This window comes from Homo sapiens, chromosome 3, assembly GCF_000001405.40.
Source record: "Homo sapiens chromosome 3, GRCh38.p14 Primary Assembly".
NCBI lineage: Eukaryota > Metazoa > Chordata > Mammalia > Primates > Hominidae > Homo > Homo sapiens.
In genome coordinates, this window is record NC_000003.12 from 126049263 (window position 1) to 126076993 (window position 27731).

At 47.3% G+C, this 27731-nt stretch overlaps 1 protein-coding gene and 1 long non-coding RNA gene across 28 annotated transcripts in view, besides 1 other annotated feature; one reads left to right on the forward strand and one right to left on the reverse strand.

The window, feature by feature from the left end:
- SLC41A3 (solute carrier family 41 member 3) overlaps positions 1-27731 on the reverse strand; it is a 95164-nt gene that overhangs the window by 42906 nt on the left and 24527 nt on the right. For 8 of the 27 annotated variants that reach the window (XM_005247563.3, XM_017006707.2, NM_001008485.2 and 5 more), the window contains exons 2-3: positions 18685-18984; positions 1681-1788 (exon numbers count right to left, since the gene is read on the reverse strand). In XM_005247563.3, coding sequence (XP_005247620.1) covers positions 1681-1788; positions 18685-18957 — 381 coding nt within the window. In that variant the 5' untranslated portion in view covers positions 18958-18984. Of the gene's footprint in view, positions 1-1635; positions 1789-7095; positions 8107-18684; positions 18985-27731 lie in introns of those variants that run through there. The other 19 variants (XM_047448404.1, XM_005247559.1, XM_005247564.1 and 16 more) reach the window with 7 other exon arrangements.
- On the forward strand, positions 7559-8966 carry LOC124909425 (uncharacterized). The gene is made up of 2 exons (XR_007096055.1): positions 7559-7728; positions 8656-8966. It is a non-coding gene; the product is annotated as an uncharacterized LOC124909425 (long non-coding RNA).
- Positions 9570-10069: an enhancer, noted in NCBI's record as "H3K4me1 hESC enhancer chr3:125777675-125778174 (GRCh37/hg19 assembly coordinates)". NCBI's record gives its function as "activates a minimal SCP1, AML or CMV promoter by ChIP-STARR-seq in primed H9 embryonic stem cells {active_cell/tissue: H9 hESC(primed)}" and the evidence as "EXISTENCE:reporter gene assay evidence [ECO:0000049][PMID:30033119]".

Below are 27731 nucleotides of genomic sequence, written 5' to 3' on the forward strand. Positions count from 1 at the left end.
GATCACTGGAGGTCAGGAGTTCAAGACCAGCCTGACCAACATGGTATAACCCTGCCTCTGCTAAAAATACAAAAATTGGCCGGGTGTGATGGCACACACCTGTAATCCCAGCTACTTGGGAGGCTGAGGCATGAGAATCACTTGAGCCCAGGAGGCAGGGGTTGCAGTGAGCTGAGATCATGCCACTGGACTCTGGCCTGGGTGACACAGCAAAACTGTCTCAAAAAAAAAATGCAGTTAAACACTATGAAACAAACACCTGAAATGCCTCCATGGCAGAGATTACTATCAACATTTTTTTCCCTCCCAAACACTGACCAAAACAATTGTGCACACACGTATGCATGTGTATACATGAGTTGTGTGTGCATGTGTGTAGCTGTATCATGTTACCAGCTGCTCAGACATTTCCACATCCCACAAGGCTCCACATGATCTGGCCCCATGTGTTAGTTTCCTCTCGCTGCTGTAACAAACTTAGTGGCTTAAAACAAAAGAAATCTATCCTCTTATAGTTCTAGAGGACAGGAGTCTGAAATGAGTCTTATGGGGTCAAAATCAAAACCTCACTCCCTCTGGAAGCTCTAGGGGAGAATCTGTTTCCTTCTCTTTCCCAGCACACAGAGCTCCATCTCTTGGCTCATGGCCCTTCCTCTGTCGTCAAAGCCAGGAGCACAGTATCTTTCCTCTCTTATGCTGCTTCCACTACATGGCCTTTTTTCCTGTCTGAAACGTCCCTCTGTTCCTCTCTATAAGGACCCCTGTGGTTACACTGGGTCTATCTGTATAATCCAGGACAATCTCCCATCCCAAGGGGCTTCTCTTAGTCACCTCTGCAAGGGCCTCTTCCCTATAAGTTAACATCCACAGGTTCCAAGACCAGGACCTGGTTATCTCTGGGGCCACTGTTCAGCCACTTGCGCCTCACCTATCTCTTCAGCCTCATGTTCGGCAGCCCCCTGCCCCCACCCCACCTGCCCTCTACTCTATAGCTACGTTGCTGTCCTCTCAGATCCTTGAACACACCACAACCTCCTCTTGCCACAGTCTTTGTCACCTACAGGATATCACATGGGCATCAGAGAAAGGGAGAAACCATTCTGTGTAGTAGAAGGGAAAAAGCTTCAGTCTCCTGGGATAGCTGGGAAGGTGTGAGAAGAGCTGGTAAAGCTAGGAACTGTGTTGGTTCAAGAGCCCAGAGAAGACACCTCCAGTGATCAAGCATTCAGGGAGCCATTCTGGGGAGCAGAAGCCACTGAGAAAGGTTAATCTGGGTGACAAAACCTTCCTGTCTCCTCCATGGAACCCTCCATCAGGTCTGCATTGCTTGTCGTGGCTTCTGTGTGAACGTGTGATGGGGCTGAGCTCAGGGTCCAGGTGGATGCGGGTGGCAGGGCGGTGTGCAGACTCGGGGCACAAGGCACCCACTGACATTTAGGTCAAAGGAGGAACAGGGGCAAACAGGGTTGTGCACATCCCTCAGTCATCCAGTTTGGTAGTGGAAAGCCAAGGCATTGGGCTGGGAGAGGGACAAGGGACAGCATGATGAGGTATCAAAACCCAGAAATATCCATTGTTTTGGAGAATCCAACCCACCGCCCACAAGCCAGGGGAGACCAGGTGGTAGGGACGCGCCTGCCTCACGTTGTGGCCGCCTCGAATGTCCAGGTGTCCACTTACAGCTGTGGAGAGTCTGGATGCCAGTGTCATCTCCAGGTTCCCCTTCAGGCCCACCAGGGGCGGCACCAATGTCAAAAGGTCTTTCACCTCCACAAACACAGGCCAGTGCTGGTAGGGAAACAGTAAGGAGATAAGCCAAACACACACATCAGCAAATCTCTGGAAATTTCTTGAGAGAACCTTCAGCAAGTCACTTTTCACTCCCTATAAAATGAACAAATAGGACTAAGTACTTTCTTAAATGGCTTTAAACTAAACAGAAATAAATGAAGCTGTGAAAACCTTTTAGTGCTGTTAACTGAATCAGTATCAGCGGCCGTAAGCACACTGGGGGCTGGGCCAGGCTGGAGGCCAGCGGGTGGCAGCCATGCTGCATGTGCTCTGCACCATGGGTTCTCTAGAGGCATGCACAGGTCCCGGATGAGAAAGATGGGAATTTCTCATGAATGGGGAGGCCTAGAAACACCCACAAGACGGCCAGGCTGAGGAAGGGCCCTGACTCTACCGGGGATCAACGATCTTCACACAGGCCATGCAGGCCCTGCCTCCCTCTGCCCCCAGGTCCAGGGACTGCGTGCCTGCTGCCACTGAGCACCCTGTGGGGCTCAGGGTTTTTAAAAACAGATAGAATATGCCTCTATCCCATTAAAAGTAGAAAAATCAATAACTTCAAAGACAGATGAAAGGGATTCATGCTTCAAGGAAAATGGAAGAGAAAACACTTATTGGCAGAGGTGAAAACAATTCTTAACTGTTTAATGTGCAATTAGATGTTCCCCTAAATCAGTTTTAATGCCCCACCTGATCCTACTGATTTATTTTGCCTGTCTGGCTGCTGCTGAGATCTTTGACGCCTAACACTAGAAGCTTCTCCTGGTTTTGGAATTCTAGACCTGGAAACAAATCCCTGCTTCGTCATCAAGGAGAAAGGCGGCCTGGGATCTAGGCCCTGTCCATCCCCTACAAGGCAAGAGCTGTGTAAAGATGTGCAAATCCACCCAGCCCCTAGGGACTTGGACAGTCATCCATAAGCTGCCCAGCAACAGGCTTGACCAGGCGTGAAGGTGAAGAGATCAGACCAGAGGCCCTTTAAGACTCCTTTCTGCTCTCAGACCAAGGAAGATGAGCACTGTTTAGTTTCTTCCTGTACCTTATCTACCAGGCTGTGGAATTCAGAATCCAGTTCCAGCTCTGATGGAGTTCTGAGTTTGCCCTCTCTTAAAACTTGAGAAGAAAACAATGCCACCAGGCAGGGTGTCCTCCCACACCTCACAGTCTCCTGGTGGCATCTGGCCACAGCTCTGTGCAGCTGTCCTCTCAGCCTGCACACCCTCCACATAGGGTGGGCCTCCGTCCTCAGCAGGGGAACCAAGGCCATCATCAAGTACTCCCCAGCTGGCCTTTGGGCACCACCACCCACACCCTCCCTAACGTCCTGTGGAGCCCAGCGTGCTCATGGGCACTCTCTCTGTCTATACCCAAGACCCGGCACCTACCAACCCCAAAGTCACAGCAAACTCCTCCTTTCAGCCTGCGCCACCCAGCAGCCTTCCTCCTGCTCTCTGAGCACTACTACCTCTGAACAAGTGCCTGTTCTCACCCATCACCCTCAGTGCTGCAACTCTATGGCTCTCACCGTCTCCCTAAAGGAAGTGGTGGCCTCCTGATGGGTAAGCCCCATCTGCTGCTCTCCCTGCAGGGTGGCACTGTCCTCCCCTCCACGGATAAAGCACCTGCTGACAGGCACAGCTCTGTACCCTCTCCCCTGGCCTCTGGGCCTCCACCCCCAGTCCTTTGCCAACCTCACTATCCACCCCATCTCGGCCCCTCTTCTTCCTCCTGACCATGTTAATACCGATCTTCCTTCCTGCTTTCTTTTCAGTTCTCCTTTCTCCTCACACCCTCTCCCTTCCGCAGCTCGAGTACCCTTCCACTGTGCACACAGCACTATCTTCCAGCAGACACCCCACCTGCTCCATGCTCCCGGGGCTTTCAGCAGGAAGCCTGGGCGGAAGACGGCGGGGGAAGCTGAATCCTGATGCATAGTGGTCCCATCCTCCTTGCCAGACGTTGCTATGACTGGTCAGTGAGACCTGAGAAGTCCTGTCTGGTCACATCGGGTATCACACAACCGTGACGGGACTAAAGTCTATGGACACTGGCTGAACTGTGTCCCCCAAAACTCGTATGGTGAAGTCCTCATGCCTAGTACCAAAACATGACTGTATTTGGAGAGACTGTCTTTAATGAGATAATTAAGTTGAAATGCAGTCATGAGGGTGGGTCCTAGCCCAGTATGCGTGGCATCCTCATTAGAGGAGGAAATTAGGACCTAGACATGCACAGAGGGGAGACCATGTGAAGACACAGGGCCATCTGCAAAGCTCAAAAACCAACCCTGCCAACACTTTCATCTCAGACTTCCAGCCTCTGGAACTGCGGAAAAAAATCAGTTTCTATTGTTTAAGCTACCTCCTCTGTGGTATTTTGTGATGGCAGTCCTAGCAAACTAATACAAATGTAAAGTGAAAAAATACTGGGTGACACTGTTAATCCAGTAACTAACCAATTCTGGCACTGTCCTATCTCTAGACTTCTTTACAGAGATAATCAGTGTCTTTGTTTTTACCTAACCAATTCTGGCACTGTCCTATCTCTAGACTTCTTTACAGAGATAATCAGTGTCTTTGTTTTTAAAGTCCCTTTGAGTTAGGTTTCCTGTTACCTGCAGCCAATAGCAAATACACTGACTGATACCCTGGGCTTGTGTGGGTGCCTCCCAGTGTCTATGACTCAGAAGTCTCTGTGAGCATCAGATCTGCCCATCCAACTCTGGCTGAACTTTGGACACCCCACAAGCACCTCAAACTCCAAATCTCCAAACTTCTCCTTGCCACCCGTGTCCTTCCTGCTCTGCCAGCCAGGACTCAACACCTTCTTTTCCCCAATCTGACATTCAAGTCATCACAACTTTTAAATTCTGCCACCGCCCTCTCCAGCAACACTGTAAAGATGCCTATATCAGTCATTGGGGAGGCTGAAATCATCAGAAATAATGATTCTTGCACTTGAGGGGCTCTGAACTCTGCCCACAGTCCCCCAGCTCTCCCCTGCTCCTCCGGCCTCACCCTCGGGGTCATCTTTGACACCACTGTCTGGGGTGGGTTTTGTGGCACAAATATGACCCCATCACTCAGCCACCTGTAACCCTTCACTGCCAACTCCTCTCCTGAGTATACCTAACACATAAGTCCTATGAACCCCAAAGACACACAGGCATATGTCAAGAACAGTCAACGCAAACCCACAGCACTGGAGTCAGAGGTGGGGCTGAGATGACTAAGCACAGAGGACTCTGCTGGGGCTCTGCTGAGGATGCCCCAGGTGGGGCTGCAAAGGCCCCTGTACCTTGAGGTGGTCCATGGAGCTGCACAGTTGTGTGCTCTCCTACGTGTCTATGCTACCCTTCAATAAAACCAGCAAGACACTCATTTTAACATAAAGCAAACACCTGCTACACTCAGTGCACGGCACACCCTCTGAGCAGAGTAGACAGAGCCCCTCACTCCTGCCCAGTATCACTGTCCCCATGACAGCGGCCACCCCTGTCTCTCACTTTCCACAAATGCACACTATCATTCACCTGTATCTTTGCACACAAATCCCTCTGCTTGGAATGTTCACGTCTTTTCAGGGCATCCTGGAAATTGCTACATTACCTTTAAAGTCCAAATCAAATTGTCCTGCTCCTCTGCAGATCCCCTGGCCCCTAGGAAGAATGACTGCTCCCTCTTCCTTCACAGGCAAACACCTCCTTGTGGCCTCCACTCCCTGCCCAGCCCTCCGGAACGCCTAATAGTCTCTCTCCCCAGCATCAGCAGGGTGGTCTCAGGGAAGGAGCGACAAGCTCTCAGCACAGCTCTAGGATGAGGCTATTGGGGGAACAAGTGGGTATTCAGGTTGCAAGCCCACAGAAGCACAGGCTTTCTAATGGGGGGCTGGCCAGGATGCAAAAGGCCACCCCAGCCCCAAAAGGGGATGAGCGTCCCATCAACTGAGACGAGCAAGCAGAAGCCACCTGGGAGGCATCGTGAGCTCAGATTAGGAGGCTGGGTGGCCTGGTGGGTACAGACTGCCCCTCTCCAACTTGGACCCAGGGGCACAGAAAGACTCTGAGTGGCCATTAGGAAGGAGGTGCTGCATACACTCGGGAACATGAAATGCTACTTGGGGTGTCCTCATGGGTTGAAATTTTAAATTTATATTTACAGATTAAAAAGCAAAACTGCAGGCCAGGCACGGTGGCTCACACCTGTAATCCCAGCACTTTGGGAGGCTGAGGTGGGTGGATCACGAGGTCAGGAGTTCGAGACCAGCCTGGCCAACATGGTGAAACCCCGTCTCTACTAAAAATACAAAAAAATTAGCTGGGCCTGGTGGCGGGCACCTGTAATCCCAGCTACTTGGGAGCTGAGGCAGGAGAATCATTTGAACCCAGGAGGCGGAGGTTGCAGTGAGCCGAGATCACGCCATTGCATTCCAGCCTGGGCGACAGGGCAAGACTCTGTCTCAAAAAAACAAAAAGCAAAACTGCATACTATAAACCATATATGTATATGTTTATATGTACATAGAAAATTGTCTTGAAAGGTCCACAGCAGCGGTGATAGAGATGAAGGGACAGCCTTCCTCCATTGCTTGGGTGTATTTTCCAATTTTTCTAAACTGACTCTACGAAATGTTTCAGTTGACAGATAGCACAAACCTCTCAATGATTCCAATACGCTGCCCAAACCATGCTAGGGGAGAAACAGACTGTGATAAGCAAATCTCCCTCAGCACACGCCTCCACTGCAGGGAGACCGCCATGGCCCTCCCACCTGCACCCCCAGGGCTGCAAACCTTGTCCTTTTTTACCAGGGGCCACGCCAGGATGCTGCGGGCTGGGCACACTGCAGCTCTGCCCACAGGGACCACAGCATACAGACTCAGTCATCTGGTCCTCACAATTCTGTGAGGTGAGGGCTTTCATTATCCCCATTTTACAGATGGGGAAATCAAGGCAGAACAGTGTGACTAAAAATCCCCTCCACTGGTGAGTGGCAGACTCTGCCTCCTGAGCCCACATACACTGGGAGGAAGGCGGTTTGAGCTCCTTGGGCTGAGGAGGCACATGCAGGCTAAGGTTCTGACAAACCTCCATCATTCTGCGAATCTCTAATGCTGAGGTCTCAGCGTTGGAGGTCCCTCCTGCCAGCCTCGCTGACACCCGGGACGCCCAAGCAGCAAGGGCAGGTTGAGGGCTGCCCTCCCACTGTAGAGGCCCCTCATGTCTCCAGCCTGCCCTGTCTGTGGTGCCAGGAGACCCAGTCTGTGTGTCTCCCACCCCTGATCCCCCAAACACCCAGTACGCACTTGAATGGTGTTCATCACCAGGCCGGCTGTCATCATGCACAAGCCGGACAGCAGAATGGGCACCACGACCTGGCACATGATGGTGAAGAAAGATTCAGGCAAGACCCCATGTGGGGACCGGGTAAGCTCACAGCTGAAGCCTCGCAGCTTCTTGCCCTGAAAGCAAAACTCCAGATTCAGCTGGGTGACCACCATGGCCAGGCAATGCACCACGATCCCAGGAGCACGAAGTCAGAGCCTGGGGTGCTCCAGTCCTCTCCTCCTGGCCCACACCAGGACGCTGTTCCCAAGAAGTCCACACAAACAGAAGCTTCCCAGTCACCAGGTGCCCTGTGCCTGCAGAGAGTTCCCCAACAGCCCCTCGGCTGAGGGCCAGCACAGATGAGTGAGGAACAAAGGCCAGTGTGACTCACGGCCTCATTACAGAGACTCTGCCAGGCCCTGCTGTCCCTCCCTGAAGGTCAGGCTCTCCTCAGACAGTGGCTGTGTGTCCGCCGGGACCTCCCTCTGCCAGTCTGCCATGGAGGCTCATGGTCCCTCTGCACCGGCCTTGACAGCAATCAGCAGCCCAGCAGGCTGGTCCATACTGGCTTGGGCTGGACAGAGCTGAAGCCCACGTGGTGCCTGGCCTTGGTGAGTGCCCACACGGAGGTCTGCTGCCACCTCGCCCTGTACAAGTGTGCTGGGCTGTTCCCCTCCTGGCAGAGGAGGGCCTGGGGAGAGATCAGCACAGAGGGACTGCCTCCTCAGGCCAGCTCTACAGACCTCGAGTTTTATTCCTCAAGGTCAAGCAGTCTATGGGTCCCCAAGCAGGAAGCCACGCCCTGGGTCATCTCAAGTTGTGTCCAGCCAGGGGGTTCATGGCCACAGGAAGCTGTGTTCACAGAAAAAAACGCAGGCCTGTTCTCCCTCCATGGCCTGGAAGACTCATAAACATGCTTCCAAAGTGGCCTCGCTTTCTTCAGCTACAAATGTCAGACTGGCCCTGCTGACCCCTCCTCACCCAGAGAAGGAGAAGGGGCTGGGAAGCCACCTCTGACTCCTGGGGTTCTGTTGTTGGGTGTGTCCTCTGCGCATTCCACAGGCACCAGGAACAGAATGTTCAGGCCTGAGGGCAGGCTGGGGCAGGCAGAAGCCCGAAGCTGGGGGTCAGACTCACACCAGCTGAACCCAGCACTGTGGTCGGGTCTAGGCCTCACTTCCACTCCCATCCCTAAACTGTCGCCCTAGTGGGCACGTTACCTGGTTCTCCCGTCGGACTATCCCAGGCTTAAGTGCAGACCCCAGCCTGGAGTCCACTGCCCTCCCCAGTGTGGATCCTACCGGCCTCCCCAAGGCTGTCCCTGCAACCGAACTCCAGACGAATTTCTCCAGCACCTGTTCCCCTCGTGCCCCCAATATTTCTTGCACTGCGTCTTTGTGCACACCCTTCATTTACTCATTCATTCAACAGATATTTTTAAGCCCCTCATAGGAGCAATGCATAACTGGCCCTAAACTCCAGCACAATTCCCACTGAGAGCTAGAGTTTCTGACCCCCTCTTCCCTCTGTCCCCACAGCTTAACCGAGAGAACAAAGTGGAAGAGACGCTGTGGTAGTCAGTTTCTAGGCATGGATCTTAAGAAACTGACAACTTCTATGTCCTATCTCTTGGGCTGCTCATGCTCCCAGCCACTCTGCTGTGAGGAAGACCACGTGGTCACACATAGAGGCCGTATGCCAGGGTCCTGCTCACAGCCCAGCCTTGCACATGAGTGGGCCGTCTTGGGCTGGCCCAACAGCCACCACGCACGCAGAGCAGGCGGTTCTTCTCACCGGGCCCTGCCCAACCTGTAGATTCCGCATCAAACAATAATTGGCTTTAAACAAACTGCTAAGCTTGGGTGTCCTTCGTTACATAGCCGTAGTTAACTGCATTTGGGGAATCTCTTCCTCATCCGTGATCTCGCTATTTCAGATGTAGCAACTCCCAAACCTCTCACAGCCCAGACCTCTCCTCTGAGCTTTCAGATCATATACCCAGGCTCTGGTAGGGATGAGCATGTATCTCACTCCACCAGTCTCTCAGGACTGCCACTTCCAAGCCTGCCTCTCCCAAGTGGCCTGCCTCAAGGAAAGGTGCAGCCAGAAATGCAAGCCTCACTCGGAGCCCCTACCATCTCAGTCCCACATCCACTCTGCCTGTCCCCACACCTCTCCCACAGCTGTCCCCCACTCCTGCCCACAGACGCTGCCTTCACCACGGCCCTTTGTCCCTCTAATCTGTCTCCTCACAAAACCACTGTGTGCTCTTCACAGGCACAACCCACAGGTGCACTGTGAGGATGGCCCTTGCTCACACAGTGTGTGGTCAACACACTGCCTGAGAAAGGAGCATCCGGACCCCTTGCAATCTGGAAAGACACATCCACGTGAGCCTCCTTCTTGCAAGTACATGGTCATATGCTGCAGCTGCAGACAGAACTTCTCATGACCCTCACGGGGGCCATGCCCGTGCTCCTCCCCTCTGCTGCAGGCCAACACATCACCCAGGCCAAACGTCTGCCAGGCCTCATGGCCAGCTGAGGCACCTCCTCTCAGCCAGAGCCTAACAGCTCTTTCCCCAGAATTCCCAACGTACTCTCTGAACCTTCCTGAAGACAGGTCCCACTTTTGCATAACAGAAGCATAAAATGCAGGTGTATCTGCTCTCCCTCCCTGGCACGCACCCCTCCTGAGAACAGAGCCCTTCTCACTGCTGCAATCTTGGGGCTTCTCCATGGCTCCATTCCACAGATCAGTACTTAGGGCCTAGTAATTGCCAGCCTCCGCCCTAAATGCCAGGGTACACTGCGAGCAGAACAAACACAGGTTATCAGTCAAAAAAGAAAGAAAGAGAAAGAAAGAAAGAAAGAAAGAAAGAAAGAAGAAAGAAAGAAAGAAAGAAAGAAAGAAAGAAAGAAAGAAAGAAAGGAAGGATGATCTGTGATAAGTGCTCTGAAGCAAACCCAGGGCATAACAAGGGCACAGAGCAGACTCGGCCACACGCAAACAGTCACTGCAAATGAATGAAGGAATGCCCGTAACACTCAGTCACTGCAATTGGATGAAGGAGTGCCCATTTGTTCCCTTGTGCAGCACTCTGTATTTCTCAGAGCTCTCTCACATTCTATCATTTTCACAACAGCCCTGGGATGTTCACAGGAACTATAGCATTCTGTTTTGCAAATGAAGAAAATGAACAGTTTCCCAAGATCACACAGCAAGTTAGTGTCAAAGGCAGGCCGAGACCCTCAGCTTCTGGGCTGCCTGCCAACCCCATCACTGCCCGTCATCCATGGTTAGGATCAGTTTGTTCAAACAGGAGATTGAACCGGCAGGAGGCAGAGAGAAATGGCCTGATTCTGAGAGAAGTGTTGCAGAAGGTTACTGGTTTAAAGGCATCACCTGGTTAAAGACAGAGTCCTCTGTCTTTAAGGCTGGCCTAGTTTCCCTGGCTGCTCAAGGCCTGTTGTGGGATGCACATTCCCAAGGCATACAGCTGAGCAGCCCCCAAACAGGTGATCACTTCCTTCAGGTGTCACCACCTCTCACAGTGTCATCATAGTTTCGGACGTGGTCAAACATCATCACACAACGTATAATCATACACAGTGAATCCTGGAACCACCCTCATCAGCACAGGAGACGCAGAAATAAACAACCATTTGCAGACTCTCATATAGAAAGAGGTGTCTGACCAAGTAGTTACAAATCATTACAAAAATGTTTCTCAAATCTGTTTAAAAATTGAGTGAGAGACCGGGTGCGGTGGCTAATGCCTGTAATCCCAGCACTTTGGGAGGCTGAGGCGGGCAGATCACCTGAGGTCGGGAGTTCGAGACCAGCCTGACCAGTATGGAGAAACCCCGTCTCTACTAATAATACAAAAATTAGCTGGGCGTGGTGGCGCATGCCTGTAATCCCAGCTACTCGGGAGGCTGAGGCACCAGAATCACTTGAACCTGGGAGGCGGAGGTTGCGGTGAGCTGAGATCATGCCATTGCACTCCAGCCTGGAAAACAAGAGCAAAACTCTGTCTCAAAAAAAAAGTGAGAAGGATACACACACACACACACACACACGTGCATGCACAGTGAAACGTTCAGAAGGATATATACCAAAATGTTAACAGTAGTTGCCTTTGGGTGGTGGGTTCATAAGTAATCTTTATAATTTTTTGTCTATTCTGACAATTGTGACTATTTGCTTTTATAAATAAAAAACTATCAAAAGCAAATAATGTAACTATATAAGAAAAATGACTTTCCTGTGAAAACCTGAGAAGAAAACATGTCAACACAGCTCACTGGGTTATAATCCAGAAAATCAAAAGTGTGGTTTTAAAAATAGCTCAGTAGCACAGCAGAAGAATCTCAAAGAGCTTGAACTAGATTCCAGCTGCACGGAGCAGCAGGTGGAAGCCGGGTCCAGCGGTTTCTGTGTGACCTTCTCTGGGCCTCCAACCCACCCCACAGCCCACAGCATGAGCAAGTGGCACAAGATCAGTGGTGCTCACCCATCAGGGGCACCAGGACCACCTGAGGAGCTTCTGCAACAGGCCGCCCAGGCTCCACAAAGACCACAGGATCAGAACGTTGAGGACCACTGATCTCTGCCCACCACCTCGTTCTTACTGGGGTGTGTTTTTAGGGGAGGGTCCACAGAGTGTGGGCAGGGGCTCTGGAGTACATTTCTGACACTGCAGTGGGAACTGCTTGTTTACCAGGAGCAGTTTCCAACGCAGCATCCAATTCATTTCTCAGGGTCACCTTGACCCTCGGCAGGTTCTGGGCCAGATGGTCATTCTTACAGGCATGAATTCTTCCCCCATCTTGTTCAGGTCTCACAGATCAGGCCAATTAAATTTTAAATAACTGTTAAGGTTCTTCTTTATTTTCTGCTTCTGATCTCGACTGGCAGAACCCACCCACAGGTGAAGATGAAAGACTTGTCCACCCCCTGCCAGGCTGGCCTGCTCCCACACTGTCTCCAAGCAGCCTCTCTTGCCTCCCCTGCAACACCTCCTCCTGGGGAAGGGGGATCTTCTTGGCCTCCCTCCGCAGGGCCGCTCCCACCACTTGCTGGAGCACACAGCCCTCATTGCTATCAACGTTGACCCCAGAACCTGCTGTGTGAGCGGCATGAGGGCAGGGGTGTCTGCCTGGCACAGGTACACAGTATATGCTGCCTGAATGAGTGAATGAATGAATGAATGAACGAACTGCTGTGGCCCTCACCTGTCCAGGGCTGGGTGTCAAGGGTCCACCATACCCTTAACCCAAGGGTGAGACCCCCTCCCTCATTGATGAGGTGAAGAGGAGGTGACCATAACAACAGGCTCACAAACAGATGGGCCCACCGTGACTGAGGACACCTGGCCAGCTCTCCCTGCCTGTTCTTTGCTTGCTAACAAGCCCACACAGCCAGTTGGGATGCAACTGCAAATTGCTGGCTTGAACCTCTGCTGTCTCTCTTGGGCTCTGTCATCTCCTCCCACCCTAAAGGGTTATTTTCGCCCCCATGACGAGAACCACTGTTAACTGACTACAGGCTGGTGTGGGGCTGGTGGGTGCTCCCTGGCACTCCTGCCACCTGGTCTGACTTACAAATTGGCTTGACAAGATGAGACTCCACAGACCCTCCCCTGCTCACCATTAAAACAGTTAATACTACCCAATGCAAATTACAACAGGACCTTCAAGGAGGGAAATTTATTATGTGAGACTTAAACAGGGTATGTCAATCCTCCTGCTTCTCCTTTACACAGGCCAATATGGCTCATTCCTAAACCTGGGGAGAACAAAAGGGTGCCTCCTGGTGGATTACCACCACCTTAATGGCATGACCCTGTCCATTCAGACCCCCACATCCAATACCGAATATTATTGAAATCACTGACTCCATCCAAATCAACTGGTACTTTGCTGCTATAGACTTGGCTAATACATTCTGTTCAGTGCCTATTTCACCAGCCTCTCAGACACAGTTGGCCTTCACCTCTAAAGGGACACTAGATACCTTTTCCAGGCTCCCCACAGGGACCTCCGCAGCTCTGCCATCACACACAGTCATGCGGCCAAGGTCTCCCCTGCATCTGCCTTTCTCAGGAGCACAGTTACATTACACTGATGATGCCCTCCTCCGCAGAGGCTCTTTTGACACACTCATTAAGGGCATACAAGTAACTCACAAAGGCACTCACAATGAGAGAGGGGGCCATCACCCTACATGTGGTGCGAGGCCTGGCACCTTGGTTAAATGCCTGAAAATTACTTGGTAAACTGAGAGCCGTCCCCAACACTGCAACAAAAGAAGTATTAACCTTCTCAGCATCCACAACATTAATACAAGTCTCCAATATCTTTTAGTTCTTTTTGGGTTTTGGAAGCAACATATTTCTCATCTACAAATTTTACTTACGCCCATTTATGCTGTCATCTGCAAAGCAAGCCAACTCAAACAGGCCACTCCAACAAAAGGTTCTAGGATCTGCCCAAGTTAATATCAGCAGTTACTCTTATTAGTGCCCCCAGAAACGCCTTCATGGAAGAGAGGGGCATTAGCAACCTCCCCTCAAGCCCTGGAGTCTACAGGCTGATGGCCGTAAGTTGTCTAGGGGCTGCGGATCCAGGGAAATGCTCTCCTCCACCCTGCACTGTGCACCATCAGAGGAGTAGCTGCTGGACACATGCTGGGCTCTCCTGGAAGCATAGGTTCTCACAGACGTTGTGCCTGTGACCCTCCATTCCCACTGCCCATTATGCCTTCACATGTGGCACCCCCAAGCTCAGTACAGCTACTGAGGTCTCCTTAAAAATAGAATGGAGCCAAACCTGGGCTCTCTGGCATATGCCACCTGCAGGAGGGGTGGTCTCCCCTGTCCTCAGTCCTTTGCCAGACGCCATGGTGCCAGAGGAGTCACCCCTCCCTGGGCCTCTTGGCTACCCAAGGCCCCTTGAGATGGGCTGGCCATTCACGGTGGGAGCTATAGGCTTCACGGTGGGTGCTGCCGTGTAATATGCAAGGGAGCTCAGGGGAAGGCTGCTGCTTCCCATCTTAACCAGGAAGTCCCTGATAAAGAGCAAACCTCTAAGGGTCAGCGCAGTGGCCAAGCATCAGGCAATCAACAGCATAGGCGCCCTGGCCTGCTGGCAGCTCCCTCTGCACCTGGGCACAGGCTCTTGGCCCAGAGCCTCAAAGATGCCCCACTTGGGGGTAGAGAGCTCTGGGAATTTCCTGCCTCACTGACACACAAAACATAAAACAGGGTAACAAATGCCTACACATATACTACAGCCACACACAAGGCCTCAGCCAGTCACTCCTGATCCTCTCTAAAGTTCAGACATGGCCGACGGTGGCCAAGGCCCTCATTTCCTTCTTGAAATATAGAGCACCAGCTCTGCAGGAAGCACCCAGTGGAGCCTCTACTTCCTGGGTGGGCCACAGGCAGCCAGGGTTAGCAGGAGGCACATGGGCCCCTCACTTCAACTCCGATGAAGTGACAGGTGGCAAGGTGACCTCCACTGGGTGTCACCACTGTCACAGGCACTGATTAAGCCAGATCCAACCCCCCCCCGGGGACACACACTCCCCATACCCAGGCCACCAAATCCCTCTGTTGCCCTTCCTGGACAAGAGCACCACATGGTACTCTCCCTCCTGGCCAAGGGTCTGTGCTGCTTCCTGGAGAGGCTCTTCTATTCCCTGGAAGTCTCAGTCACCACCAAGACTTAAGCTGGCATCGAGGCATCAAGGGGTCAATGGTGGGGTAAGGCCTAAAACTACGAAGTGCGGCCTCAACACCTGGAGAAAGCAAGATAATGTGAGCGGCGCGTTCCCCTCCTGACTCTGCTCCTGTGGATGAGGTTCCCAGCCCAAGAGCCTCCTTATCTCAGGGCAGGAACTGTCCCTCCACATCCCCGAGGAGCACGCTTCAGTTTCTGCCACCCTGTGGAATTACGCATATAGTCAGGAATGGAGGGCAGGTTTCCCACTCTCTTGTTATGACAAATCTTGCCCCCCACATCCCCTGCTGACTCACTCTGCTCCCCAGTGGCCCCGCAAGGTGTGCAGCATCCTCCTGCCTGGGTGACTGGTATGAGGACTAACAAATTGCCGTGGTCCTCACCTGTCCAGAGCCAGGTGTTGAGTGTCCACCATCCCCATAACCCTAGGGCAGGACTCCCCACCCTCACCAGCAGAGTAAAGAGGAGGCAATTAAAACAGGCTGCTCTCACCTCCTCCCGCACCCCCAGTCTTCTCTCTCTGCCCACATGAAACACCCCTCCAGCCAGCCCTCTTGCCCTCCTGGCCTTTCTAGACCGCTCGGTGTCTCTGTAAGGCCATAGCTTGCCTGGAGACCCCCGTTCTTCCCGGCACATGCACACAATGCTCATCCCAGTCCACCCACAGAGCCCAGGACTGCATCAGTTTCTGGAGACTGCTGCCATTCCTGCCTGCTCCACGCATTCCAGTGAGGAGTCCTGGTGGAATTTCAGAAAGATTAACTTGGAGGAGCTTGGCGTCATCAGGTAAACCCTTTAAAGGGAGCAGGTGCTTCCTGAAGTCAGAGAGGGATTTCACCCAAGGGAGGTTTCTCCACTGCTGCCTTTGAAGATGGAAGGGCCACAAGGCAAGACGTAGGAGTGGCCTCGAGAAGTGAAGTGCAGCCCCTGGCTGATAGCCAGCAAGGAAATGGAACTGCAGTCCTTCAACCTCAGGGAGGAACCCAGCACCAGGAGGTGAGTTCTGAAGACAGGACTATGCTTAGAAGTGGATGTTCCCCCAGAGCCTCATGAAGAGAATGCATCCTGGCCAGCACGTGGATTTCAGCTGTTGAGACCCTGAGCAGAGATCCCAGCCATACCATGCCTGCCCTCTGCCTTACAGAACTATGAGCTAATCAATGCGTGCTGTTTTAAGCTGTTAAATTTGTGGTAATGTGGAACACAGCGATATAAAACTGATACAAAAACCACATGTTGCCAAATCTTCTGAGTTTTAAAGAGGAGCTGAATATAAGCACTTTAATGAAAAGCTTCCAGTTTTGAAATGTTTGCACTGAACTGAACACTAACCAGCCAACAAACCGATGCAGACCAGCACGACAGCTGTGTACACCCACTTTGAACCTCTCATATATGCAATGAAAAGAAAGCAGACTTGTAGCAGAGAGTTTTTCTTCTTCATGGGAACACATCCCTAGTCTCTAATATGTGCTGCCCTGTGCACGCACATGGGCAGATGGGCACCTGTATAAAAAGCAGCTTCTGTTTCTAAGGAAGGCATAGGCTCAGAGCCTTAGAAGAAAGATGACTGAGACTGCATTTTAAAAAATGAATGCATAGCAAAAAGCCACCAAAAGCAAAGTCAAAAGATAAATGGAAAAAAAAGGAAACATTTATAATCCACATCACAATGAAATGATCAATTTCCTTAATATATACAAAGCCCCTAGGTATCAATAAGAAAACAGAAAAACACCCCATAGAAAAATGAGCAAAGAATATAAATAGAAATATCAAGACCTCAACCTGTCTCACTCATAATAAGGAGCACAGATCACACCATAATGACCACAGCAGGCAGCAGCCCTGGAGGAAGGCCCCCGACCCTGCCTCCTGGTACTGATGCTTTTAGCCAATTGCTTCCCCTGAAATGTGGCTCAACCTGGTGACCTGATTCTCACCAACAGAAGCAAGGCCATGCTGCTTCTATGACTAGTTTACAGAGGACAGTGATGTCTGTCTTGCCAGCAGACTATTTTTCCGTCTTGGACTGTACCCTGATGAGGCAGGCACCATGATGGAGATGTCCACATGGAGAGGACCTGAGGGGGCCTCTGGGCAACAGCAGTGAGGAACTGAGGCTCGCAGTCCAGTATCCACCAGGAATGTCACCCTCTAAGTGAGCTGGGCTAGTGCCACAGCCTCAGGAGAGACCATGAAGCAGAAAAGCCAGCTAAACTTCACCTGGATTCTTTACCCACAGTAACCACGAGATAATACATGCTATCATATGAACCATGTGTGTTTTATTGGGATACATACATGCTTAATATAACGCGTGAGTTTTGGGATAACTTGTTAGGCATCAAGAGAAATTAAATTAATACAATGAAATGCAATTTCCAGCTGGCAGATTACTAAAGATCAAAAAGGTTGAAAAAACCTGTGTTGATGAGTGTTGGGAACAAGCATTTCCCTGTGGTACTGGAGGAAGTACAACATCCTACCACTATGCGGGAGTTCAGTCAGAGTAGTGGGAAAAATTATAAAGATAGTTATAGGAAATAGTCACAAACCTTCTTGGAAGGCCGGGGTGTTGCATAGCTTCAGTAAAAGATTTAGCTGAAGGCAGCCTAATCCTCTTTACCTTGAGTTGATAGCAGAAGAGCAAATAACAAGGGAATGTGGGGGAGTTTATCTAAATAGCTTGTTTACTCATGCGGTCCTAAGACAAACCTTTGATCATCTGTAGGACTGCTCTCTCTGGTGGAGGGCAACCAAATTAATTACCCACAGGTGTGTTGACTCAAAGCCTTTGTCATTTAATCTGTACTAAATAAATATGAATTTCGCCGGCGTATGGGGCGATGCTGCAGACTCAGAGCACAGCCCCTTAGCTGGATTGACAGGCAAAATATCTGTGTCAATGTGTGTCAATGTACATGTCTCATCTGTCACTGGGTCAGGGTCTGTGGGTTGGACCGCCCCCCCGCCCCCCGCCCCGGCCACCGCACCACTAAGCAGATGATTTGGTGATCTCCATCAAAGCCACAAATGCACATGCTCTTTACCCAGCAATTCTACTCGCAACAAGTTATCCTACCAATTTATTCAGAGATGTATACAATGATTTATGTCAAGATGATTCACTGCAACATTTGTTTTTTAAGTGGTTACAGGCTAAATTATGTCCCTGCAAAAATTCGTATGTTGAAGTCCTAACACCCAGTACCTCAGAATGAGACTATAATTAGAGACACAGCCTTTAAGAGGTAATTAAATTAAAATGAGGTCATTAGGGTGGGCCCTAACCCAATCTGATGGGTGTCCTCTTAGGAAGAGGGATTAGGACAGAGACATGCAGAGGAAAGATCACCTGAAGACACGGAGAAAAGGCAGCCGTCTGCAAGCCAAGGAGAGGCCACAGGAGAAACCAATGCTGCCAACACCTTGATCTTGGACTTCCAGCCTCTAGAACTGTGTGAAAATAAATGTCTGTTGTTGAAGCACCCCAGTGTGTGGGACTTTGTTATGGCAGCAGTAGTTGACTGACACAGTTGTTAAACTTCAAAGTACATCAGAAGGGAAATGATTAAGTAAATTTTGGTCTACATCAATCATATGGGCTAATAAATTGTCTACTGAAGATTAACTTGGGTTAAATTTAGTCTCTGTCACCAGAGACTAAAAGAATCTTGCCCAATATATAGAAAAAAAAAATGGCTTTTCAAGAGGACTGCCCGACAACCTTTAAGCTCAACCTTACATGCAGCTGCCTACTCTATAGGTGATGTTCGGCAGTGCCCCGCTCCCTGTCCCCATTTAGTTCCCTCTTACCTGGAAATAGTCCAGAAGCATGCCGGCCCAGGACAGTCCCAGGCCTGCAAACATGAAGGGCACGGTCACCTGAAGGCCTATGGACCAGGTGGTCTCCCTGCTAGGCTCAGTCTCCAGTGGCTTGGGGGTCACGCTTTGGCTCTCAGGGGCCCTGAGAGCTCCATCTTCTGAGGCTACAGGGAGTCCTCCTGTGCTGAGGGGGTGAGGAAGCCCCAGCTCCCCTGGCTTGCCACAGCTGTCCAGCCTCCGCTGCCGGGTCTCTGTCCCATCCATCTGGGCACAGCTGGGCGCCTGGCAGCCCTACAGTGGGAGACACAAAGTTGTAGGGCCAAGTTCCTGATTCCCATGGCGCTAACACCCAAGGAGCCTCAGGCACCTGTCCAGCCCCAGGCCGGCATGGTCCCATCCAACCCACAGCCCTTACTCAGCACCTGCTCCACCAGCCTCCTGCACCCCAATTTACAATAGTTTGTTGTTTAATATGCACATGTGTGAGCACAAAACATACAGAAAAGCACAAACATATATGGGCTAAAGTCAGCAAAAAAGGGCCTCTGAAAATTCTCTCTCCTATAAAAGCAATTTAAAAAAAACCCAGCAAAAACTGTCAAAATCATCTTTTTCAGAACTCTTACTGATACCAAAGGCTCAAGGCATCCAGGAATACCCATTCAAGAAAAATTGCTGACTCTCAGCAAGAAAGATCACTTTGTAACATTCAAGATGCTGGTGACATTCTAACATGCCTGGTCCCACTACCCTCTCCAGCTCTGCCCTAGCCTTGAAAATTGACAGCCTGCAACTGCAGTGAGAGCCAGCAGCCTGAAGGGCATGACAAGGCTGGAGTTCTTACAAGTCCCCATGCCCAAAGAATTATTTTTTGACCCATCTGGAGATCCCTGGAAGACCCCACTTGGAGGGCTGTCTGTATTTAACCCCACTTGGAGTTCACCTGGTGCAAAACCTTTTGCCCTGGGAGAAGTTAGTAGAAAACAATTATAGGCACAGTGGCTACCAGCTGGGGTGAACAACAGACTAATGAAAACACTTAAAAGGAAAAGCTGAGGAAGGGGATGTCAACAGGGGTTTCGAAAAATTCCCGCACACTCTGGGCATCTATTAGGTTGGTGCGAAAGTAATTGCAGTTTTTGCTATTACTTTTGACAGCAAAAACTGCAATTACTTTCGCACCAACCTAATAGGCCACCAATGGATAGTGCCACACCCATGGCTAGGAACACACTCAGGAAATTCCTAGGAAGGCCCCAAGTTTGTACCTCCTGGACACTTTGCACAAGCAGCAGGTAAAGGCTGGGGAGGCTCTGGTGAGCACCGGACTGGATGTACCCAGTGTGCACACAGAGCCACTGGGTAAAGACCAGGAGGCACACTCATTCCCTGCATGGAGTTCCAGGCACGGAGTTCAAGGAAATCTGTAACCGGTCATCAGCTGGCACTGGGCAGAGACTGCCGTGGCCACATACAACAGAGAATGGAGGATGTTTGCAGGATTGGTCCAGAAAAATCACTACGCAAACAACAACAAGCAGCAACAGTAAATCCTGGGAAGGGGGGAATCTCATTTCCACACCTGTCACGTTATATACTGTTAAAGGTCTAGTTTTCAACAATAAAAATGAGACATGCCAAGAAATAAGAAAGTATGGCCCATTAAAAAAAATTAATAGAAACTGTCCCTGAAGGAGGCTAAAACTTTGAATTGGCTGTTTTAAATATGTTCCAAGAACTTAAGAAACCGTACCGGAAGAAGCAAAGAAAAGTTTCAGAATGATGTCTACTTGAATACAGAGTATCAATATAGAGATGAAAATTATTTTTAAAAATAACCAAATAGAAATTCACGAGTTCTAAAGTACAAGAGCTGGAATGTAAAATTCCCTAGAAGAGCAAATGGCTGATCTGAGCAGGGAGAATATAAAGAATTGCTGAACTGAAAGATAAATCAAGAGTGATTATTCAGTATGAAGAACGGAAATGAAAAAGAATAAAGAAAAAGAAACAGGACCTCCGAGAACTATGGAAGAATATCAAGCATAACAATATAAATGTTGAAAAGGGGGAAGGCAGAAAGATATTTGAAAAATAATGGGCAAAAACTTTCCTGATTTCATAAAACATTAATTTCCACATCCATAGAGCTCCACGAATTCCAAGTAGAGTAAACTCCGAGAGAGCACACCAAGACCTGCCAAGAATCTTAGAAGCAGGAAGAGAGCAGCAACTCATGATGTACAAGAGATCCTTTAGAGCAGGGGTCCCCAACCCCCGTTGGGAACTGGGCCACACAGCAGAAGGTGAGCGGCTCCCGGCGAGCATCACTGCCTGATCAGGTTCCCTCTCCTGTCAGATCACCGGCAGCATCAGATCCTCATAGGAGCTCAAACCGTATTGTGAACTGCGCACGCAGGGGATCTAGGTTGTGTGCTCCTTATGAGAATCTAATGCCTAATGAAGAGGTGGAACAGTTTCATCCCCAAACCAGTGCCTCCCCTCCGCCCCAGTCCATCGAAAAATTGTCTTCAACAAAACCAGTCTCTGGTGGCAAAAAGGTTGGGGACCACTGCTCTATAAGATTAACAGCTCATTTTTCATCAGAAATAGAAGCCAGAAGGCAACAGGATGGCATCAAAGTGCTCAAAGAACAAAAGCTGTCACCTAAGAATTCTTAACTAGCAAAATTATCTTTTCAAAGTAAAGGAGAAATTAAGAGATTTTCAGATAAACAGACACAGAGCATTCGTCCCCAGCACACCTGCCCTAAAGGAAACACGAAAGGGAGTCTTTAAGGCCGAATTAGGATCCTAGACACTAGCTAGAATCCACACAGAGGAAGGAAGAGCATCGGCAAAGGTAACCACCTAGACAGATTTTTTTTTTTAAGTATAAACACATTTTTGTTAGTAACTCTTTTTACTCTTATCCAATTTAAAGACAACCACATAAATCAAGTTGGAATTAAGTTGTTATTGATCCAAACACGATTATTATAAACCAAGGTGCTGATTGTAATCCTCAGGGCAACTGCTAAGAAAAAAAAATATAAAAGAAATAACAAGTGAATAAAAGTGATACACTAGGAAAGATCTACTTAGTACAAAACAATGCAGTAATGGGGAAACAGGGAAAAAAGACATTAGACAGACAGAAAACAAATAGCAAAATGGCAGACATAAATCCCATCTTATCAATTATTACATTAAGTATAAATGGATAGGTTGGAAGTAAAAGGATTTAAATAAATATACCATGCAAACAATAACCAAAAGATAACTGGAGTGGCTTTAATACTATTAATAATATCAGGCAAAACAGACATAAAAACAAGAATTCTTACTACAGACAAAGAAGGATATTTGATAATGATAAAAGGGTCAATCTATCAAGAAGCTATAACAATTACAAACGTACATATGCCTAACAACAAAGCCCCCAAATACATAAAAGTGGCAGAACTGAAGGAAGAAAAAGACAATTCAATAATAATAGTTGGACATACCTCACTTCCAACAATTGATAATACAATTTGACAGAATTTCAACAAAAGAAAGAGGACTTCAACAACATTATAAACCAATTAGATCAAACACATCTATACAAAACACTCCGCGCAACAATAGCAGAATACTCAATCTTATCAAGTGCACATGGAACATTTTGCAGGCTTGATCTATCTTAGGAAAAATAACTTCAATAATTTAAGACTGAAATCATACAAAATATGTTTTCCAACCACAACAAAATAAAATTAGAAATCAATAACAGAAGGACATTTAGGAAATTTATAAATATGCGGAAATTAAACAACTTTTTTTTTTTTTTTTGAGATAGGGTCTTATTCTGGCACCCAGGCTGGAGTGCAATGGCATGATCACAGCTCACTGCAGCTTAGACCTCTGGGGCTCATGTAATCCTCCCTTCTCAGCCCCCCAAGTAGCTGGGACTACAGGTGTGTGCCACCATGCCCAGCTAAATTATTTTTTAAAGTTTTGTAGAGATGGGATATCACTGTGTTGCTCAGGCTGGTCTCAAACTCCTGAGCTCAAGTGATCTGCTCACCTCGGCCTCCCAAAGTGCTAGGATTACAGGCATGAGCCACCATGCCCCAGCCCATACTCTTAAATAAGTAATGGGTCAAAGACAAAAATCACAAGATAAATTAGAAATTTCTTTGAGATGAATGAAAATGAAAATACAACATGCCAAAAAATCATGGCATGTGTTAATGTAGTGCTTAGAGGGAAGTTTATAGCTATAACTATCAATTTCTTTAAAAAGAAATGAACAAATTAATAAATCAATTTTCCACCTTAAGATAAAGAGGAGCAAACTAAACCCAAAAAAGTAGAAGGCAGGAATTAATATAGATTAGACTGGTAATAAATGAAAGAGAATTGTAAAAAAAAATAAAAAAAAAAAAAGGCCAGCAAAACCAAAAGTTGGGTCCTTGAAGAGATCGACAAAACTGACAATCCTTTATGTAGACTGATGAAGAAAAAAAGACAGAAGACTCAAATAGTTAAATTAGGAATGAAAGAGGAAACATTACAACCAAAACTAAACATAACTATAAGAGAATATATGATTAACTGTAAGCCAACAAATTGGAAAAGCCACCAGTCAGAATGGCTATTATTAAAAAGTCAAAAAATAACAGATGCTGGTGAGGTTGTAGACAAAAGGGAATGCTTATACACTGCTTGTGGGAATGTAAATTAGTTCAGCCATTGTGGAAAGCAGTGGAGGTGATTTCTCAAAGAACTTAAAACAGAAGTACCATTCAACCCAGCAATCCCATTATTGGGTGTATACCCAAAGAAATATACATCATTCTACCATAAAGACACACGCACAGGTATGTTCATCGCAGCACTATTCACAATAGCAAAGACACAAAATCAGCCTAATGCCTGTCAACAGAAGACTGAATAAAGAATATGTAGTACATATGCCCATGGAACACTATGCAGCCATGAAAAAACAAGATCATGTCATCTGCAGCAACATGGATGGAACTGGAGGCCATAATCCTAAACAACCTAATGCAGAAACAGAAACCCAATACCATGTTTCACTTATAAGTGAGAGCCAAACATTGGGTACACATGCATATAAAGAAGGGAACAACAGACACCAGGGCCTACTTGAGAACAGAGGGTGAGAGGAGAAAGAGGATCAAAAAAACTACCTATCTGGCCAGATGCAGTGGCTCATGCCTGTAATCCCAGCACTTTGGGAGGCCGAGGCAAGCAGATTGCTTGAGCTCAGGAGTTGAAGACCAGCTTAGGCAAGATGGTGAAACCCTCTACAAAAAATACAAAAATTAGCCAGTCATGGTGGAGTGTACCTGTAGTCCCAGCTACTCAGGAGGCTGAGGCAGGTGGCGCTTGAGCGTGGGAGGCGGAGGTTGCAGTGAGCCGAGATTGCACCACTGCACTCCAGCCTGGGTGGCAGAACAAGACCCTGTCTCAGAAAAAAAACAAAAACAAACAAACAAAATCCAAAAAACTACTTATTAGGTACTATGTTTATTACCTGGGTGACAAAATCATCTGTACACCAAACCCCCATGATACCTAATTTATAACAAACCTGCACATGTACCCCTGAACCTAAACGTTAAAAAATAAATAAAGCTAAAAAAATTAGAAAACCTAGATGAAATGTACAAATTCCTAGAAACACAAACTAGTAATACTGACTCGTGAAGAAATAAAAAATATTAATAGATCTACAGATAAAGAGATTGAATTAGTAATCAAAAAACTTCCCACAAAGAAAAGCTTAACACCAGATGGCTTCACTAGAGAAGTCTACCAAGCATTTAAAAAAAAATAACACAAATCCTTCATAAACTCTCAACAACAAATTGGAGAAGGGAACACTTCCCAACCGCTTGTATGAGACCAGTGTAAAGACAACCCAAGAAAGCTACAGACCAATGTGTGTTATGAATACAGACACAAAATCCTCAGCAGAATACTAATAAACTCAAGCCACTAGTACATACAAAGACTTTTACAATATAACCAAGTGGGATTTATTTCAGGAATGCAAAGTTGGTTCAATATATGAAAATCAATGTAATACACCAAATTAATAGAATAATGGGGAGAAAACATAGCTCAACAGACACAGAAAAAGCATTTGGCAACAACTAACACTCTTTCACGATAAAAACACTTTAAAAAGTTAGCTTTGGGTTTCTCATAGATGCCCTTAGTCAGGATGAGGACATTCCCTTCTATTCCTAGACATTAAGACAAGAATTCTTACCACAGACAAAGAAGGATATTTGATAATGATAAGAGGAATAGAAGGGAATGTTCTCATCCTGATTAAGGGCATCTGTGAGAAACCCAAAGCTAACAAACTTAGCGAGAGTCTGAAAGTTTTCCCACTAAGATTAGGAACAAGACAAGAATCCCTGTTTTTGCCAATTCTATTAAACACTGTACCTGAGGTTCTAGCCAGCACAATTCAGCAAGGAAAAGAAATGAGACGTATCCAGCTTGAAAAGGAAGAAGTAAAATTATCCCTGTTTACAGACGACATAATCTTATACGTAAAAAATCATAAGGGATCCACATACACACAAACTATTACAGCCAGTAAACAAGTTCAGCAAGGTGTAGGACTGGAGGACGCAGGTCAATACACGAAAGTCAGTTTTTTTGTTTTGTTGTTGTTTGGGTTTTTGGGTTGTTTGGTTGTTGTTTTTTTTTTGTTGTTTTGAGACAGGCTCTCACTCTGTCACCTAGGCAGGAGTGCAGTGGCACGATCATAGCTCACTGCACCCTCAACTTCCTAGGCTCAAGTAATCCTCCCACCTCAGCTTCCTGCGTAGCTGGGGCTACAGGTATATTCCACCATGCTCAGCTACTATTTTATTTTTTGTAGACAGGGTCTTGCTATGTTGCCCAGGCTGGTCTCAAACTCCTGAGCTCAGGTGATCCTCCCACCTCAGCCTCCTGAGCAGCTGGGACTACAGGCATATTCCACCATGCTTGGCTAGTATTTTATTTTTTGTAGACAGGGTCTTGCTATGTTGCCCAGGCTGGTCTCAAACTCCTGAGCTCAGGTGATCCTCCCACCTCAGCCTCCTGAGCAGCTGGGACTGCAGGTATATGCTATCATGCTTGGCTATAGTTTTTTATTTTTTGTAGAAATGAGGTCTTGCTATGTTGCCCAGGCTGGTCTCAAATTCCTGGGCTCAACTGATCCTCCTGCCTCAGCCTCCCAAAGTGCTAGGATTACAGCTGTGAGCCACTGTATCCGGCCAGTTTTATTTTTATACACTAATAATGAATAATCTAAAAGTAAATAAATAAAACAATTGCATTTGCAATAGAAATGCAAGAAATGAAGAAAACTTCAGAACAAATTTAACAAAAGAAGTCCAAAACTTGTACCCTGAAAACTATAAAACATTGATCTCCAGGTTTAATACAATCCCTATTCAAATTCCAGTGGTCTTTTTTTTTTCTTTCTCCCTCCCTCCCTCCCTTCCTTCTTTCTTTCTTTCTGGAGAAAATGACAAGCTGATTCTAAAATGCAAATGGAAATGCAAGGGAACAGAAAATCCTGAAAAAAAAGAATGAAGTTGGAGAACACAGACTTCCTAATTTCAAAACTTATTGTAAAACTTGGTATTGGCAAAGAATAGAAATATAGATTAACAGAACAGAACTGAGAGTCTATAAATAAATTCATGCATCTATGGCCAATGGATTTCTGACAAAGGTATAAAAACCATTGGATGGGGAAAGAGTAGTGTCTTCAATAAACGGGGCTGGGACAACTGAATAATCACATGCAAAAGAATGAATTTGAACCCCTACCTCAAACCACATACAAAAACTAACTCAAAATGGCTTAAAGAGTTAAACATAAGAGCTAAAACTACCTAAAACACTTAGAATGAAATACAGGTGTAAATCCCAGGGACTTTGGATTAGGCAACAGTTTCTTAGATGTGATATCTGAAGTACAAGCAACCAAAGAAAAAACTGACAAATTGGATTTCATCAAAATTTGAAAGTTGTGTTTCAAAGAACACTCTCAAGAAAGTAAAGACGATCCACAAAATGTGCAAGTATTTGCCAATCATTATATCTAATGAGGGTTTAGTATCCCAAATATATAAAGAATACTTACAATTCAACAATAAAAAGACAATTTAAATGACAAAGGAATTAAACAGACATTTCTCCAAAGATGTACAATGGCCAATAAGCACATGAAACAATGGTTTCACTTAACATTAAAAGATGCTCAGCTTCATTGTTAGAAAAATGCAAATCAAAACCACAGTAAGATACCACCTAACATAATGTTGTCAAGCTTCATCCATGTTGTTACATGAATCAGTACTTCATTCCTTTTTACAGCTGGGTAATATTCAATTACATGGACATATCATATTTTGCTTACCCACTAATGAGTGACAGACATTTGGGTTATTTCCACTTTGGGGCTATTATAAATAATACTCCTATGACTATTCATGTGCAAGTCTTTGTGTGAATATAAGTTTTCTGTTCTACTGAACTGTACATTTAAAAGGGGTGAATTTTATGGTATGAACTTTATATCACAATAAAAAAATTATGAATCATTTATGAGATAATATTAAAGCAAGCACACTTATACTCCCACTAAGTTCAAGAAGCAAAGCATGACCAGCCTCTCCACTCTGAGCCCCTCTCTGATAACAACTCATTCCTCCCCACCCGAGGTGATACTAGCCTCACTCTGGGGATGACCATTCCTCGATCTGTTTTATTTTTTCTTTAGTTTTACAATGTGTGCAGCCCTAAGTGTTACAGCTGAGTTTGGCCTACTTTGCGATTTAGATCAACAAAGTAACACTCCACGGATTCTTTTCATGTCCAGTTTCTTTCAGTTGACATTAGATTTCTGAGATTCAGCCATGCTGCCGAATCTATTTTATTGCTGTAGAAAACTGAACTGTATGACTGCCCCACAATCTCTTCATCTATTCTACAATCAATAAACCACCTCAGCCT